The following is a 16,239-nucleotide window of genomic DNA, read 5'->3' as shown; positions in this document are numbered from 1 at the left end:
TGTGGGAGGTGCCCAGTAAAAATGTGTTTTCCCCCCGGCTCCTCTGTTGAGCAAAGCATACATCCTGCAGATCCACCAGCCATTTCAGAAGTGTGTCATGGTGACAGTGGTGTGACTTTGCTTTCTGCTTTCCTTCTGGTAGTGAGATAAGCCATTCCATGCTTCAGCACAAGGCCAAGGGAGGGAGAGCAAGGATGACATTGGTAGAAGGGACTGAAGAGAAGCATATTTGTGCCATGAATTCTATAAACATGAGAAGATGAGATCATTGCACCAGCTATTCCAGGAGTAGAATCAGCACCCCAGCTAGAAAAGGGGGCAGGTCTCTGGAAAGCTGCAATTTTAGCTTACTCGTAATAGCAATAATCCCTAACATTTATTGAGCTCTTAATGTGTGCCAAACATTGTGCTAAGCAATTTACATGCATTATCTCATTTATCTTCACATCAATTCTGCCACATAGGTGTCATGCTATCTCATCTTAAAGATGAGGGGATTGGCCAGGCGCAGTGGCTCACACCTGTAATCCAAGCACTTTGGGAGGCCAAGGCATGTGGATCACCTGAGGTCAGGAGTTCAAGACAAGCCTGACCAACATGGTGAAACCCCATCTCTACTAAAGATACAAAAATAAGCTGGGCATCATGGCGGGCACCTGTAATTCCAGATACTCTGAAGGCTGAGGCAGGAGAATCGCTTGAACCCGGGAGGTGGAAGTTGAAGTGAGCCGAGATGGCGCCTGGGTGACAAGAGCAAAGCTCCATTTCAAAAAAAAAAAAAAAAAAAAGATGAGGGGATTGAGGCACTGGGATATTATGTACCTTTCCCAAGTTCACTCAGCCAGCAAGCGGGCAATTATGTTCACCTAGGCTGTCACAACAGTACTAGCTGGAGTATCAGTTTGGTGGATATAACTAAGGTTCAAATACAGTGGCTTAAACAAATCGGAAGTTACTTGTTTCTCATGTGTCAATCTTGATGTCAACTGTCCGAACCAGGCTCCTTTGATCTTCTCACTCAGCTGCCATCTCCAGCGTGTTGCCCGCTCTGCATGGTCCCTGAAGATTCACCTTCACATCCTCATCCCAGGTGACAAGAAGGAAAGAAGGGAAAGGAGAGGCTGTTTGCCTCCATTGGCTCTGCCTACATACCATCGGCCAGAACTGGGATTGTGGTCATACCTAGCAGCAAGAGAAGCTTATGAATCACTCTTTTGAGTTAAAATGTATTATTTTTGTTACTAACATAGTAGTAAAACAGAAATGATTAGTGGACACCCAGAACTCTGTGCTGTAACCACTATGCTACCTTATTTATGTTGAGAGATATTGGGCAGAGTATGACTGGAACTTTGTCATCCAACACAAAACATAATTTTCAGCGTAAACAAACATTTTGTAGGCACCTGCCACCTAGAGAAAAATGAGAAGTCATGCTATAAGATACAGCCCTGCAGATGAGGAGATAGCATGAGTTGAGTACCTGCTATGTACATGGAGCTGGCTTAGAGACTTCCCATACAGCATATCATACCATTGTCTCAACAAAACCATTCAGAGATGAAGACACTAGGGACTCAAGGAGGTGAAATAATTCACCTAAGTTAATATGTTTAGTAAACGGTCAGGTCAAGATTCAAAGTCCCAGAAGTGTGACCCTGGGTAGGTTGCTTAACCTCTCTGTGCCTATGACCTCCTCAGCTCTAAAATGGAGCTACCTACAGGATTGCTGTGGGCTGTGGATGCTTTAATGCAGTTAAAGCCCTGGGAGCAGCACTTCGGGAGGCCGAGGTGGGCGGATCACAAGGTCAAGAGATCGAGACCATCCTGGCCAACATGGTGAAACCCTGTTTCTACTACAAATACAAAAATTAGCTGAGTATGGTGGTGCGTGCCTGTAGTTCCAGCTACTCAGGAGGCTGAGGCAGGAGAATCACTTGAACCCAGGAGGCAGAGGTTGCAGTGAGCCAAGATCACACCACTGCACTCCAGTCTGGTGACAGAGACTCCATCAAAGAAAAAAAAGCTCTTAGGATAGGACATGACATGTAGTAAGCACTCAGTGAATGATTAGATCTTGTTGATTATGACTGTTATTGTGGTTATTGTTAATAATAGTACTGAATTATCTTCTACTCTACTCAGCCTGCACTTCATCCTAATCCTAGTGTGATAAATGTTATATTGCGAATGAAGAAGTCTAGGAATGTCCAGAGAGAAGACAGATTCCTTTTGACCCTAAAACATAAAAAAGCATCGTAAAGAAGCAGCATTTTGTTGGACTTCGAAAGAAGGGTAGGATTTTAACAGGCAGAGGTGGGAGTGAAACTGGACAAAGAAGTTATTCCAGGGAAAGGGATCAGCTTGAAAATAAGCATCTAGAAAGGGAATGGCAAGTGTGTCGTGGGAAGGGAAACCGCGTAGGTGAGGACAGTGAGTGGGAGTTAAGGCAGGGAAGGGGGTGGGCCAATGCCTGGAGATAATTTAAGGAGGTTGGGCTGTTACCTGAAGGCAGTGGGGAGCCCTGGAAGGTTTTGATCAGCACTGTGCCAGGGGAAGATTGCCATGGCAACAGCTCTGGGGGAGGACAGGAGGGTGGAGAGGCCAGCTCACTAACTAGTGCCACGGGTTAGGTAATAGGTAACAAGGATCCAAATTAGAGCTACAGCTTTGGGAGAGGCTAGGAGGAAACAGAATAAAGACAACGCGTGGAGGGAGAATTAAAAGACCACAGTGGCTCTGTCTGCAGAGGGCGAGGCAGATAGAGTTGTGAAGCTGCAATGCCTAAACCCACTGTCTGAAGCACAGGCTCCAAATAATTTCAACCTTATAGGATACGATGCTATCTGCCTGTTGTGACAAATGACTCATTTATTTTTTCTAGCTGGTTCTGGTTAGACCTTGGACTGTTTACTCACTCATTCATTTCATTAGCCATGTGTTCAGTGTCTATGCTAAACAAGCTCCATCAGTAAAAAGATCATCTCTGCTTGAGACACCATTTATATGAGCAAGGTACAGGGCAGGCTGCTTTAAGAAACAGGCCCCAAATGCATTGGTTTGAATCGACTGTCCATTAATTCTTCTATCTCATGTAAGTTTAGACACAGTTCAGGGATGGTGTGAAGGCTTGATGATGAAGGGAAATTAATCTACTTTTAATTTGTTCTGCCACGCTTAACTTGTAGCTTCTCTCTCAGGATCCAAAAGGGCTGCTCCCGCTCCCACTGTCACAGGCATATTCAGACCAGCAGAAAACGGGAAAAGAAAAGGAAAAAGGAAGGACTCCCTTCCCCTTTAAGATCAAGACCTAGAAGGTGCACACATCACTTCCACTCACATCCCATTAGCTTGAACTTGTTCGTATGGCCACAAAATTGCAAGAGGGGTGCCAAATGTAACCTTTAATTGGGTGTCAATGTACCCAGATTTAAAAATCTACCACCACGGAATAAAGGGAACTGGACAAACAAGTGCAGTATCTGCTATTCTACTACGCAGTCTCTGCTGTCTACTCTGCCCGCTGCAATGCAGGGAACTTAGTGGCCACTTAAGGAATTTTTATCAAATAAATGAATGGCAGCATCATCATAGGTACTGGGGATACCAAGATGAAATAACATATTTCTTGTTTTCAAGGAGCTTTTAGCCTATAAGGGGCAGGGGCTAAGCAGGTAAAGAAGTAAATGCAAAGAAATTTTCCACTGGGTAGGATAGCAGCCTGTGTGGAGCCCTATATAATCAGTTACAAAGGACAAAAGCAGCAAAGGTCAGAAAAGGTCTTCATGGAGGAGATGATGATCGGCTGAATCTGGAAAGATGAGTAGGTGTTTTCCTGGTGAGCCAGGTGAGGAGAGCTGATCAAGGATGAAAGGAGAGGATTGTCAAAGACCAGAAGGTTTAGAAACAGCCGGGCATATTTAAGAGCGAACAGGCATGGACCAGGAGGGGAGGGAGGGGAATAGCAAGGGAAACTGGAAGAGGTGGGTGGGGTCAGGTCAGGGGACCTCAATCTTTATCTCATAGAAAATGGTACCCGTTGAGCCATTTACAGTGCAGATGTCTCAGGTGGCAGGGGTGTGTGTGTGTGTGTGTGTGTGTGTGTGTGTGACAGAATGACATTTTCATTTTTAGAAAATTGCTTTGGGTCCGGGCATGGTGGCTCATACCTGTAATCCCAGCACTTTGGGAGGCTGAGGCGGGTGGATCACAAGGTCAGGAGTTCAAGACCAGCCTGGCCAAGATGGTGAAACCCCGTCTCTACTAAAAATACAAAAATTAGCTGGGCATGGTGGTGGGCACCTATAATCCCAGCTACTCGGGAGGCTGAGGCAGAGAATTGCTTGAACCTGGGAGTCAGAGGTTACAGTGAGCTGAGGTCGCACCACTGCACTCCAGCCTGGGTGACAAAGCGAGACTCCATCTCAAAAAAAAAAAAAAAAAAAAAAAAGAAAAGAAAAGAAAAGAAAGAAAGAAAGAAAAACGAAAAAAGAAAAGAAAATTGCTTTGGGTACACTTTTCAGAGAATGGACTAGCAGTGGGGACGTGACTAGAAGTGAGAGGCAAAACTTTTGCAGAAGCTTAGTGTTTTCTTCACAGACACTAATATTTTCTGTAAGCATGACTTTCAACGATCTAATGTATCTCATAAAGATCGAAATATTTTATTTGAAATCAATTAAAGTCATAGTTGATTTTTTTAAAGATAAAGTCTAATTGATTTTGTTTTTCTGTCATCAGTTTTTCTTCTAGTGGTCATTTTCACTTCCTCTGTTTGCTTCTGGTTCTTCTGCTGAAGTCTATAAACTGCTATTTACAGAAGCATTGTGTACCCTTGGGAAGGTCTTCTGCCTTCTGCACATAAGCCGAATTATGAGTGGGCTGGGAGAGAGGAACTCCACCGCTCTTTGCAGCTGAAAAACTCCCTGCTATAAGGAAGAGCCAATGGCATCCAAACCATGCAAACTCTGAAAAACAAGGAATTACCAACTGTCTCATTTAACCGTGAAAAAGCTGAGCCAAGAGACGTTCAATGGTGTCTCCAAGGTCACCCAGCAAAGCAACAGCAACAAAACCAGGGGCGAGGACACAGGTCCTCTCAGTTCAGGTCTTTTCCCACTAATAGGATCAAATGTCACAGCTTAAATGAGGAACTCTTCAGCCTCTTAGTCTTCACTGATTTTTTCTTTTGCTCAACTATAGCATGCATTTTGAAACGATGACCTTGAGATTTCTTGCAGTTTTACATTTTCATGATTTATAGAGTTTACCACGAGCGTATTTTGTAGATATTTCTCTACTAACATGAATACACCATGCAGTAAGCACTTACCCAGCCATTTGTTTATTTAATGAGAATTTTCCAGTCTCATTGTCATCTTAGTAAGCAGCACTTTGAAGGATGACCAGCTCCCTGTCATATGGAAGATCTGGGATTGACTGCACCACTCTCATAAGGCTGGACCCTGTGGTAGCTTCCAGTTTGTGACTTACAAATATGGTAAGGCAATGAAGAACCTCTGAATCTTGGTGAGCACTTCTGACTGTCTCCTTAGGCTGGATTCTAGATGGAGAATACTTCATCAGTCTAATACTCATCTCACAATGAACAAAGTCAAGAAAAAAAATCTTAACTGCCCCACCCCTGGTGGCCCATATCACACATACATACACAGCACACTACACTCATTGACACACGACACTACACATACACACACTACTGCACACACACCCCATACTACAGGCACACACACCCAACTCACACACACCACTGCACACACACACCCCACACACATACTACCATACCTCCACACACACTGCACACATACATCCCACACTACACACAGTGTACACACACAGTTCACTATAAACACACTCCCACACTACACACACACCTCACTGCACACACATCTGATACTGCACACACACAAAACACATGCAACCAAACTACACACAAAAAAATACACACAACACACACACTACACATACACACCACTGCACACACATACCCCACACACATACTACCATACCCCCACACACACTGCACATACACTTCCCACACTACACACAGGCCACACACACTACTATACCAAAAACACGTGCACTGCACACAAACCCCACACTACACACACACTTCACTAGAAACACACTCCCACACTACACACACACACCACACAACACACCACTGCATACACACCTCACACTACATACACACCACACACACTATGAACACACACTGCTACACACACACATCCCACACTATACACATACACACTACACACACACCTCACTGCACACACATCTAATACTACACACACAAAAACACACAACCAAACTACACAAACAAAAAACACAATACACACAACACACACAATACACATACACACCACTGCACACACACACACCACACTACGTACACATACACCAACACACACGCACACACGCAGACTTTCTGCTTCTTCCTTAGTCTTGACTCATATCAGTAAATGACATTATATCATGCCAGGTTACTCAAACCAAAAACCTATGAGTTAGCCTCGATTTCCTTCTCACTCACCCTCTTGTTCAGCCCATCAGCATGTCTGGTCAGTTCTTCCTTCCATGTAAAAACACATCTGAAAGCTGCAAATTTCTCTTTGTCTCCAGGACCATCACCTTGGTCCAAGCCATCACCCTCTCTCCTAACTCATGTCCTGTCCAATCTTGACTTCTTCTATTCCATTCTCTCTACAGCAGCCAGAATGACGTAAAAATGTCATTTAGTTCATGTCATACCTTCTCATAAAAGTCTACACTGTTTATCTTATTTTGGAAAAAAAAAAATCCAAACTGTTTATCCTGGCTTACAAAGGACTCCTGCCACCCTTCTGACTCAATGTCCTACCCCTTCCCAGTGGATTCATTTGTTCCATTATGAAAAGGGTATGGTTACAGGCACCTGTGATGCATCAGTGAAAAAAACAAAGATCCCTGCCCTAATGCAATTTACATTCTAGCAGGGCAAGAGGATAAACAAATAAGTCTAAAGCTTATGTAGAGTATGTTAGAGGTTTTAAGTGCTGTTTGAAAAAGAAAAATAGAACAGAATGGGAAGCCAGCGATTATAGAGGGGGTTCTAGGATGCAATTTTAAGAAGAATGACTAGGCAGCGTATTTAGTGCTTTTTTGTAAAGGGTGAAAGAGTTGGCCACAAAATATCTGAAGGGAAGGGCTTTCTAGACAGAGACGAGTTCATTTTTTATACTATAGCCTGAATAATAGACTCTATATATCTTATATTCTAGTTTGGTGAGTTCAGATAATAAGCAAGTAAACAAACAAACAAACAAATAAACAAACTAGGAAAAGCTCAGATAGTGAGAAGTTGCTTGCACAGACCTCAACAGGATGATGAGAAGTGATTGATCAGGAGCTGCTTTAGATTACTTGTCTCATCTCATCCTTAAACCAGTCTTATAAGACAGGTCTTATCAGCCTTGTTATACAAATAGGGACGCTAATCACAGAGAGATGCTAAATAATTTTCCCAAATTCACTCAATTAACTTCTCTTTCCATGTGGTTCCATTGTCCCCTGTGTATTCACCACCACCGTATTTCTCAAACTGCACATTTATCATTGGGTGTTTAGCCACTTTCCTTTCCTGATTCAAGGGGATAAACTGTGTCTACCTCAATGTGGAACCCCCAGCACCTGGCGCGGTGATAGACTCACCATCAACACACAATGATGCTTGCTAAATAAAAGCACATGCCTGACCCGCTGTTCAACTCCTGGTGTGATTGACTCTAAATATGAAGCCCCTCCCCACGATAATGGGAATTGACCCTGAAGTCATGTGCCAGTTTTAAAATCGACTCACAAACAATTTGAAACTTTTCCATTGAGTCTGTTTTCCATCTTCCTGAATCTCAGTGAGCTTTGACTCCTTCGACCAATGGCATGCATTGTAAGTGACAGGAGGTGACTTTTGAGGCTAGTTCTTCAAAGGTTGTACAGCTTCTGCCTAAATCATTGGACACTTGCCCTCTACATAAGAAGTCCCACTATCTTGACATGACCATACTGGAGAGGCTACATCATGTAGGCTTTCTGTCTGGCAGTCCCAGCTGAGCCCAGTATCCAACCATTCCCAGTGAAGAAGCTGTGTCGTGTTGGAAGTGGATCCTCTCACCCCTCCTGATCCAGCCCCATCCATTGGAGTCAGTGGCAATCTTCCCAGCTAAGGCCCAAACATCAAACAGCAGAGACAGATCATTCCCCAGTGCCCTGTCAGAATTGCTAACCCACAGACAGAAGGATGTTTTACTTTGCACGAGTAAGATTGGGGGGCGTTGGTTACATGGCCATAAGTAACTGGAACATCAAGTAAAATCTTTTTTTTTTTTTTTTTTGGCAGAGTCTCACTCTGTCACCCAGGGTGGAGTGAACTGGTGCAATCTCAGCTACTCACTGCAACCTTCGCCTCCCGGGTTCAAGCAATTCTCTTGCCTCAGCCTCCTGAGTAGCTGGGATTACAGGCATGCATCACCACACCTGGCTAATTTTTGTATTTTTAGTTGAGACGGGGTTTCGCCATGTAGGCCAGGCTGGTCTTGAACTCCTGACCTCAGGTGATCCACTCGCCTCGGCCTCCAAAAGTGCTGAGATTACAGGTGTGAGCCACCATGCCTGGCCCAAGTAAAATCTTAACCCTATATTTACTTCTCTGTTGTGTTTATTGTTAATCTTCCTTACTTAAACAGAAGCTTTCTTTTCTCCCTCTCTCTCTCTTTTTTTGGGGGGTCTTGCTCTGTCACCCAGGGTGGAGTACAGCAGCGCAGTCATAGCTCAGTGCAGCCTCAAACTCCTGGGCTCAAGTGGTCTTTCCCTCTCATCCTCCCAAAGTGCTAGGATTACAGGTATTGGCTGCTGAGCTCAGCCCTGATTTTAAGCTTTCTAAGTGCAATACTGTTTGCCTGTTTTGTGTATTGCTGTATTTCTGGCACCTAGTAGAGTGCCTGGCATATAGTAGTTGTGCAATAACTATTAAATGAATGAATGAATAATAAGAGTTTTAAGACATATATATATGAAAGCAGGGAATATCAGCCCTTAGCTTTCTGGCCAAAACAAAGAGAAAAACATGAAGCTCACAAGATTCCCAATGACTACAAGATAAAACATACTAGATGCTTTGGAAAGGCCTAGATGTTTCTGGAATGATTTACTGCTATCACTTTTACTCTTTTCTTATCCTCCCCCCATCATCTTCCTAGAGGGTAAGAGATTTTCCATGGTTTAAGTTATGTCTTACCTCATTCCTTGCCAAGCCTGGAAGATCCTGGAAACTACTAAGTGCTCCAAAAATATTTAGTGAATGAGCTCTCGATGCATCCAAAACCACAGAGCTAAGTTTTACATCCGTGTAAGTAATACAAAACTGAGCTCTTAATTTGGAAAGGAAAGGATCAGCTAATTAATATGCAATGTCAGCAGCCTCATATATTTTATGGTACAAAACAGAACTGCATGTCCCTCAGCCCAGTCAATTTCCTGTTTGTTATCACATTAGACCTATTCCAGGGCAGATGGAAAATTTGAAGGACATTTCCAGCCATTAAGATGGATATAAGTCTTTCAGAATTGCATATAAATACATAATACCCCTCATCAACATTTTTAGAAATTAGGGTTCACACAATTTTTGATTAAGCAGGGCTCTTTTATCATGTAATTCTGCTTCCTTCAGCTGAGAATTGGGCTCCCCAACTCTATAGGCTGTTGATGTTAGTCTGGCTTTTAAGGCAGTTTCTGTTCAAAATTTCATACAAAGATCCTTGTTGTTCCTCTCTCTGACCTTAACTCTGCCTGACTTTAAAAAAATCATTAATTAATGATTAAAAACAATGGATTTAGCACCTCCATTGTGGCCCCTGTGTTCAGCAGTCCTGGATATTGCCCTGTGGATATTTTCAGACCGGTACTAAGAGGTAGCACTCCTATCTCCATTTTACATAGGATAGAACGAAGGCACAGGCGCCTTCTAACCTGCTCAAAGTCACAGCTAGAAAGTAGTAGAGCCTTAAACTTTGTGCTGGGTTGACTCTGAAGCAGGAATTCTTCTGACACTGCTGAAAGAGATGGAAGGCAAGCTGGCATTTATAGCACTCCCGCTATGCGCCAGGTACCGTATTGGCCACTATACATTTCCTTTGTCATTTTACGGCCACATTATAAAGTACACATTTTTATCCCCATAGTATATATCATAAAACTGAGGTTTGGAGATATTCAGCAATTTGCCCAAGGTTAAACAGTTACTAATTCGTGACGCCAAGAGGCAAGTTCGGTCTGTGAGACTCCACACACTGTTCTTTTCCTTAAGCAAGAACCTGAGCATGAGCTCGTGAAAGGTTTTCATCTGTGCAGCCCGAGGTCCATTTGCTGTGCAGTCCAGCGATGTTGAACTAATGTGGGAGGCAGAGGTATTCCGGGGCTTTGAGAAAATCTGAAACCTCTCTAACTCTCGGCATTTCCATCTGTATAATGGGTTCATAATACTCGCCCTCCCTACTCCATGAGACCTTTAAAACTGAAAAAAGAAACTCTCTGTCCCAAAACCTCACTTTACAGATAAGGACATTGAAGGCTTCTCTAAGCTGCTCAGTCAATGATGACTGAAACTAGCCTAGAACCCTCATATGTTCGCCTCTGCTTCATAACAAATGCTAACATTTATTTTATAAGTTAAAAACATACCTCTCGTGTATGTAAAATGAATACATGTTAAAGATTTTTATTCAACTCATCAAGTAATGAGCAAAGCATTAGTATGCTAAGACCAATTCAAAGGAGATCTTTGTAGAACAGAAAGATACATAGACAACTAGAAATGCTGAAATAAATTTGCGAAAAGATGCAAAACAGGTTAACATTCAAAAGGCTATAACATGTAACATTTGGAGTTATCTTTTCTGCATGGCACGAATCAGTTGCATCTTTACTGGACAAAACTCATTGGCATTGTTATCAGTTTTCTACAAGTTAACCTTTATCCTCACAGAGTTGTAAATAGATTCAATAGTAAGACAGTCAAAGGTGCAGATTCCTGTAGAATCAATGATTCGCAGAGATCATTGATTCAGGAATCTTGGCCCTCCCCTGAAAGAATGCCAAATAATCTCTTTTGCCAATTTCTGATTTTTCCTTACATACACACAAAAAAAAACCCACAAAAAAAATGGTGAAAATTTCAATAGCTTTCCACTATAGGCACTGATTCTGCTCACAGGTCTGTGGGACAGTGAGGTAGCTCTGTTCCCCCTGTCTCATTCTGGGGTCCAGGCTGGAGGGGGCAGCAGTTCCCTGGGGCATGTTCTTCTCCAGGTGGAGGTCAGGCCTCCCAGAGAAGCAGCATGAGCAGGTGATGCCTCTGAATGCCTGTGCTTGGAGGTGGCACATGTTTGCTTCTGTCCGTATTCCACCAGCAAGAGCAAGTTATGGGAACCAGCCACGTCAGCGGGAAGCGTAATCCTCCCATGGATGCAGGAGAGTGCATATTTGCTGAAGAGTAATCATTCTCCTGATTTTCAGACCACATCAGGTTGTGCTAAGAGATGCAAAAACAAACATACGAACAAAAAAGAAAAAAAAATCCCACATCTGGGCACGGAGGCACTGTGTAAACACAAAGGAACAACCTTTACATACAGATATCCTGTTGGGTCCTGTTACCCCTTTTCTAAAAGTGAAAGAAAGTATGGCTGGCCATCCAAAAGTTATATTTGGAAATGAACTCATGTTGATGCTTGGTTTTCTGACATAATCTACCAATAGCATGAAGGTTTTCATGGAGATATTTGACTCTTACCTGGTGTGTTTAATGAGTGCTGGCTACTAAAAGTTGGTGGTGATACATGTTTCTTAAATAGGGCACATCTAGCCCTTTGGGTTTTCGAAACTATGTTTTGGGAGAATAGAAAATGACAGAATATTTATCCTGAGCATTTATTTACTCAAAGAACTTGAGGAAAAAGATGACAGCTGTAGTTTGCACATGCAGAAAATAAATGATAGTGATATTTTAATGGATTGTTTTAATTTATTGTTTTATTTTTATTTTTGCCACAAATTATTTGTAGCAAAAACACTTTATGGAATGAGGATTTCCAGTTTAGGTTGAAAACCACTTGAAGTATCGCCCGTAAAGTTTGAGACCAGGATGAGAAGTCCAAAATCATAGCACAGGGATCCTGGCCTAGAACAGGGGTGTAGATGAAGGGGAACAGTCTGAGGGAGCACTGATGCTCCAGAATTAGGGCCTAAGAGCATCTTCCTCTTTCTCTTAATTGTTTTTGTTCTTCCTCTTCCTTTTTCCTCATGATGGCAATTATACGTGCCGTTACCATTTATGAATTACTCCCTCTTGTGGTAGATTCTGCACATAGCCCTTTACATAAGTGTGGTGACTTAAGTTTCCTGCCTGGTCCCTGCAGACGGGAGGTTTGTAAACTGTGGCTGGGACTTGCATTCATAAAGCCTGTTTGGGGTGGTCTCAGAAAATTTAAAAATTAAAACCTGTTTAAAAGGGAGCCTTAACTGAAGATCAAAGAGACTTATCTGTTCTTCCTCTGAGGAAGAAAAGGTATTTTTTCATTGTTTTTTCTTGATCAATTTGGAGCATCAAAAGAAAAGTCAAGACAATTCTAAATAATGCAATGTCACACATGGATTAAACTATCTCATCTTTCAATAATCTTCTGAGAAAGTCATTATTGTGCAGATAATATATAATACAAGGATAATCATCATAATAGAAAATGAAGTTCAGAGAGATTAATAATTGGTTAGGCAGCAATGAGAATATAGCCCAAGGAACCAGCTGGGATGCAGCAATAACCTCAGTAGACTGAGACAGAGACAGAGATTGAGATAGAGACAGATTGAGATAGAGACCTTTGGGTCTCTACAGTTAGCTTTGAAACTCACCATGAGCACAAGAGGTAGATATTACTTGTTCCTTCTCCATTTCCAGAGAAGGAAACCAAGTAGAAGAGAATTGACAGCGCTTCCTCAAGGCCACTTAGAAAGTGCTAAGGCTGGAATGGAATCCTAGGTCTTCAAACACCAAACCTTTCTGGAATCACAGGCCTCCTATGAAACATCTGAATTTTATCATCTTTTTGATATTCACATTACTTTGGGAAACTTTCATCTCAACATGAAGGACTTTCCAATAATGCAGACATCATTTTTTGGGCTTTGGAGAAAAATCTGAGTTTGAATCTCTGCTCAGATATTCTTCTCTGACTCTGAGCAATCCACACACTTTTTTTTTTTTTTTTTTTTTTTTTTTTTTTTTGGAGACGGTCTTGCTTTGTCGCCCAGACTGGAGTGCAATGGTGTGATCTCGGCTCACTGCAACTTCCGCCTCCTGGGTTCAAGTGATTCTCCTGCCTCAGCCTCCCAAGAGGCTGGGATTACAGGCAGCCTCTCTCAGCTGGGATTACAGGCACATGCCACCATGCCTGGCTAATTTTTTGTATTTTAGTAGAGACGGGCTTTCACTGTGTTGCCCAGGCTGGTCTCGAACTCCTGAGTTCAGGCAATCCACCTGCCTCAGCCTCCCAAAGTGCTGGGATTACAGGTGTGAGCCACTGTGCCCGGCCACACATATTCTTGAATGTATATTTGTGTAACACCAACTTCAATGGGCAGTTGTGACAACTAAATGAGGTAAAGAAGATGCTTAGCCTGGGTCTGGCCATAGAACATACACTCAGCAATTGGTGAGTATATTGGTTATTCAACAATGGGATTTCTTGGGAGGCAATGAGCCCCCAAATGATGGAGATATTCAGGCAGAAACCAAATAGCTTGGCTGAAGATTGAACTGGATTAACATTTTATAGGCCAGATTCATGACCCTCAGTAAAAATGTGAAGTCACTGTAATGTGTTCATGTGACGGGCTGATTTTGTGGCCCCCCAAAATTCATACATTGAAGCCCTAATACCCAGGACCTCAGAATGTGACCATATTTGTAGATAGGGGCTTTACAGAGGCAACAGAGTTAAAATGAGGTCATTAGGGCAGGAATTAATCCCATCTGACTGGTGTCCTCATAAGAAGACATTTGGACACACAAGGAGACACCAGGGGGCATGCACACAGAGGAAACACCATGTGAGGAAGCAGGATGAAGTCGGCCATCTGCAAGCCAAGGACAGAGGACTCAGGGGAAACCAATCCTACCTGCGCCTTGATCTCAGACTTCCAGCCTCCAGAGCCCTGAGAAAGTAAAGTCCTATTGTTTCAGCCACCTGGTCTGTGGGATTTTGTTATGGAAGTGCTATCAAAAAATTATAGCTTGCAGTCAGCATTTTATAACATAGAGAATAGAAAATATCATTTCAGTTAGTTCTATGTGTATTCTATTAAGTGGACTGGGTTGTGATACAAAACGTGGGTCACTGTCACAGAACCTAGAGCAACATTGGGCTTCATACCTGAAAGTTCTCTTCTCATTTGGATGAAATAGTAAGAATGAATATGGTACCATTCATATTATATCAATGAATATGAAATGAATGCCTCTTCGTGCTAAAGTTTGACAGATGTGAACTCCCTTAATCCTGACACATATTTTCAAGGTGATTATTGTTATTCCTACTTTTCAGGTGAGACTAAGGCTGGTTATTAAACCTGTGCAGGGTCAAACGCTTAGCATTTTTCAGGGACAGGATTCCTACTCAGGGCAGGCGGTCTCAAAAGCCTGAACTCTCCCTATTCAGCATCATCTCCTGGCCAGTGGCTTAGCACACAAACATCAACTTCCCCTCTGCAAAGAATTCTGAGATGGAGATTAAGAAGGCCTTGGCTTTAATAGGATCTGCACCTGTGCCTCAGGGCACAATGGGCCCTTTATGATTGCAGGAAGAACACAGAGTGCTTCTCCAGTTGGCATGGTGCTTTTCTTCTTGTAACCAAGGTACACTGAGCATCGTGGTGTCTGTGGGGTGGGGTAATGAGGCATAAAGGTCTGCTGTCTAGAGAGTCAGTCCAGCCCTAATAGAGGGAGGTAAGAAAAATGGCCCCAGCCCTTTTTGTCTGAAGGCACTATGAATAGCGTCTGTGCCTGCTGCATTCAGCCCCCTTGAGCAAGTGGACTCTGGGTCAGACGCTCTTAAACGCAGGCACATGGGCTCATTAGTGGGAAAATGGCAATGGATAATTGGGATATGTAAATGACATGGGCAAACTGGGTGTTTTAACAATCAGGACCCAAAGAGAAGAAGTGTCATTTGGTGAAGAGAAAGGAACAGACTGCCCAGGGAGCCAATTACCGGAGCCAGAAGAGGATGCTCAGCCTAGCAGGGAGACCACAGTCAGGATGGCAAGAGCCTGCGACATTGTGGGGAGGTTGTTTCTGCCTCTAAGATGCAAAGTGACCCATGACCCAGCCCTGTCTTTTTAGGTAGCAATTCTTGGCAATATTCTTTTCTAAATACCTCTTGCAGCCAGCCCCTCCTCTCCAAGATCTGCCTCAACACCTCTCAGCTGGGCTCTGCCTTGTACTTGCTCTGATTGAATTGATTTTTCTCACTTCCAACCTCTCCTCCACAGAGTTGTCAGAAAGCCCTTTGTGGAACCACCTGGGATTAGGTCAGTTTACGCTTAAAGTAACTCATGACCCCCAAGTCCATAAGCCTGGTATATATATGAAAGCCTTCCCCATGTGGCCTCTGCTCCATCCACGCTTGCCTCCAACCATCACAACCACTTTCCCTGGAAACTCCACTCTCTGTCTTGCCTCCAAGCCTTTGCCTACACTGAACCTGCCACCTGGAATAGCGTTCTCAGGAAATAATACATTGTAGTGGTTAAATGTATAGGTTCCAAAGTTAGATCACCTGAGCTTGAATCCTGGGGCTGTCATTTCTTAATCATGTAAACTTGGGTGCAGTATTTAACCTAAGTATAATTTTCATCATGGTTGATATGAAAAGCAATAGCCATAATGCCTATTTCATAACTTTGTTGTGAGGATTAAATGAGATAATCTATATATAGCAGTCAGCCCAGTGCCAAGTGTAGAGGAAGCACACGATAAATGTTATTATGATAATAAGCATCCATCACGAGCCAGGTCATTGACAGCAATGACCGTAGAAAGATGAGTAAATTGTTTTGCATTTTATTAGCTCATCTTTGGAACTAAATATAGAATTAATTTTTTTTCTTCTGTTTTTCATTGAT

The 16,239-nt window shown here is 42.9% G+C and overlaps 1 long non-coding RNA gene across 2 annotated transcripts; it reads right to left on the bottom strand.

Moving 5' to 3' along the window:
• Positions 1 to 5,328: 5,328 nt before the first annotated feature.
• LOC105375765 (uncharacterized) lies at positions 5,329 to 14,800 on the bottom strand. 2 transcript variants are annotated; one of them, XR_001745740.2, is made up of 3 exons: positions 9,296 to 9,492; positions 6,557 to 6,726; positions 5,329 to 5,563 (listed from the first exon to the last, which is right to left on the bottom strand). It is a non-coding gene; the product is annotated as an uncharacterized LOC105375765 (long non-coding RNA). The 2 variants fall into 2 exon arrangements; XR_001745741.2 differs by lacking the exon at positions 9,296 to 9,492 and adding an exon at positions 14,490 to 14,800 and having other exon boundaries at positions 5,365 to 5,563.
• Between the last annotated feature and the right edge of the window lie 1,439 nt (positions 14,801 to 16,239).

Source organism: Homo sapiens, chromosome 8 (genome assembly GCF_000001405.40).
Source record: "Homo sapiens chromosome 8, GRCh38.p14 Primary Assembly".
NCBI classification, from domain to species: Eukaryota; Metazoa; Chordata; class Mammalia; order Primates; family Hominidae; genus Homo; species Homo sapiens.
Note: the sequence above shows the minus strand (reverse complement) of the source record. Positions and strands in the feature narration are given on the sequence as shown.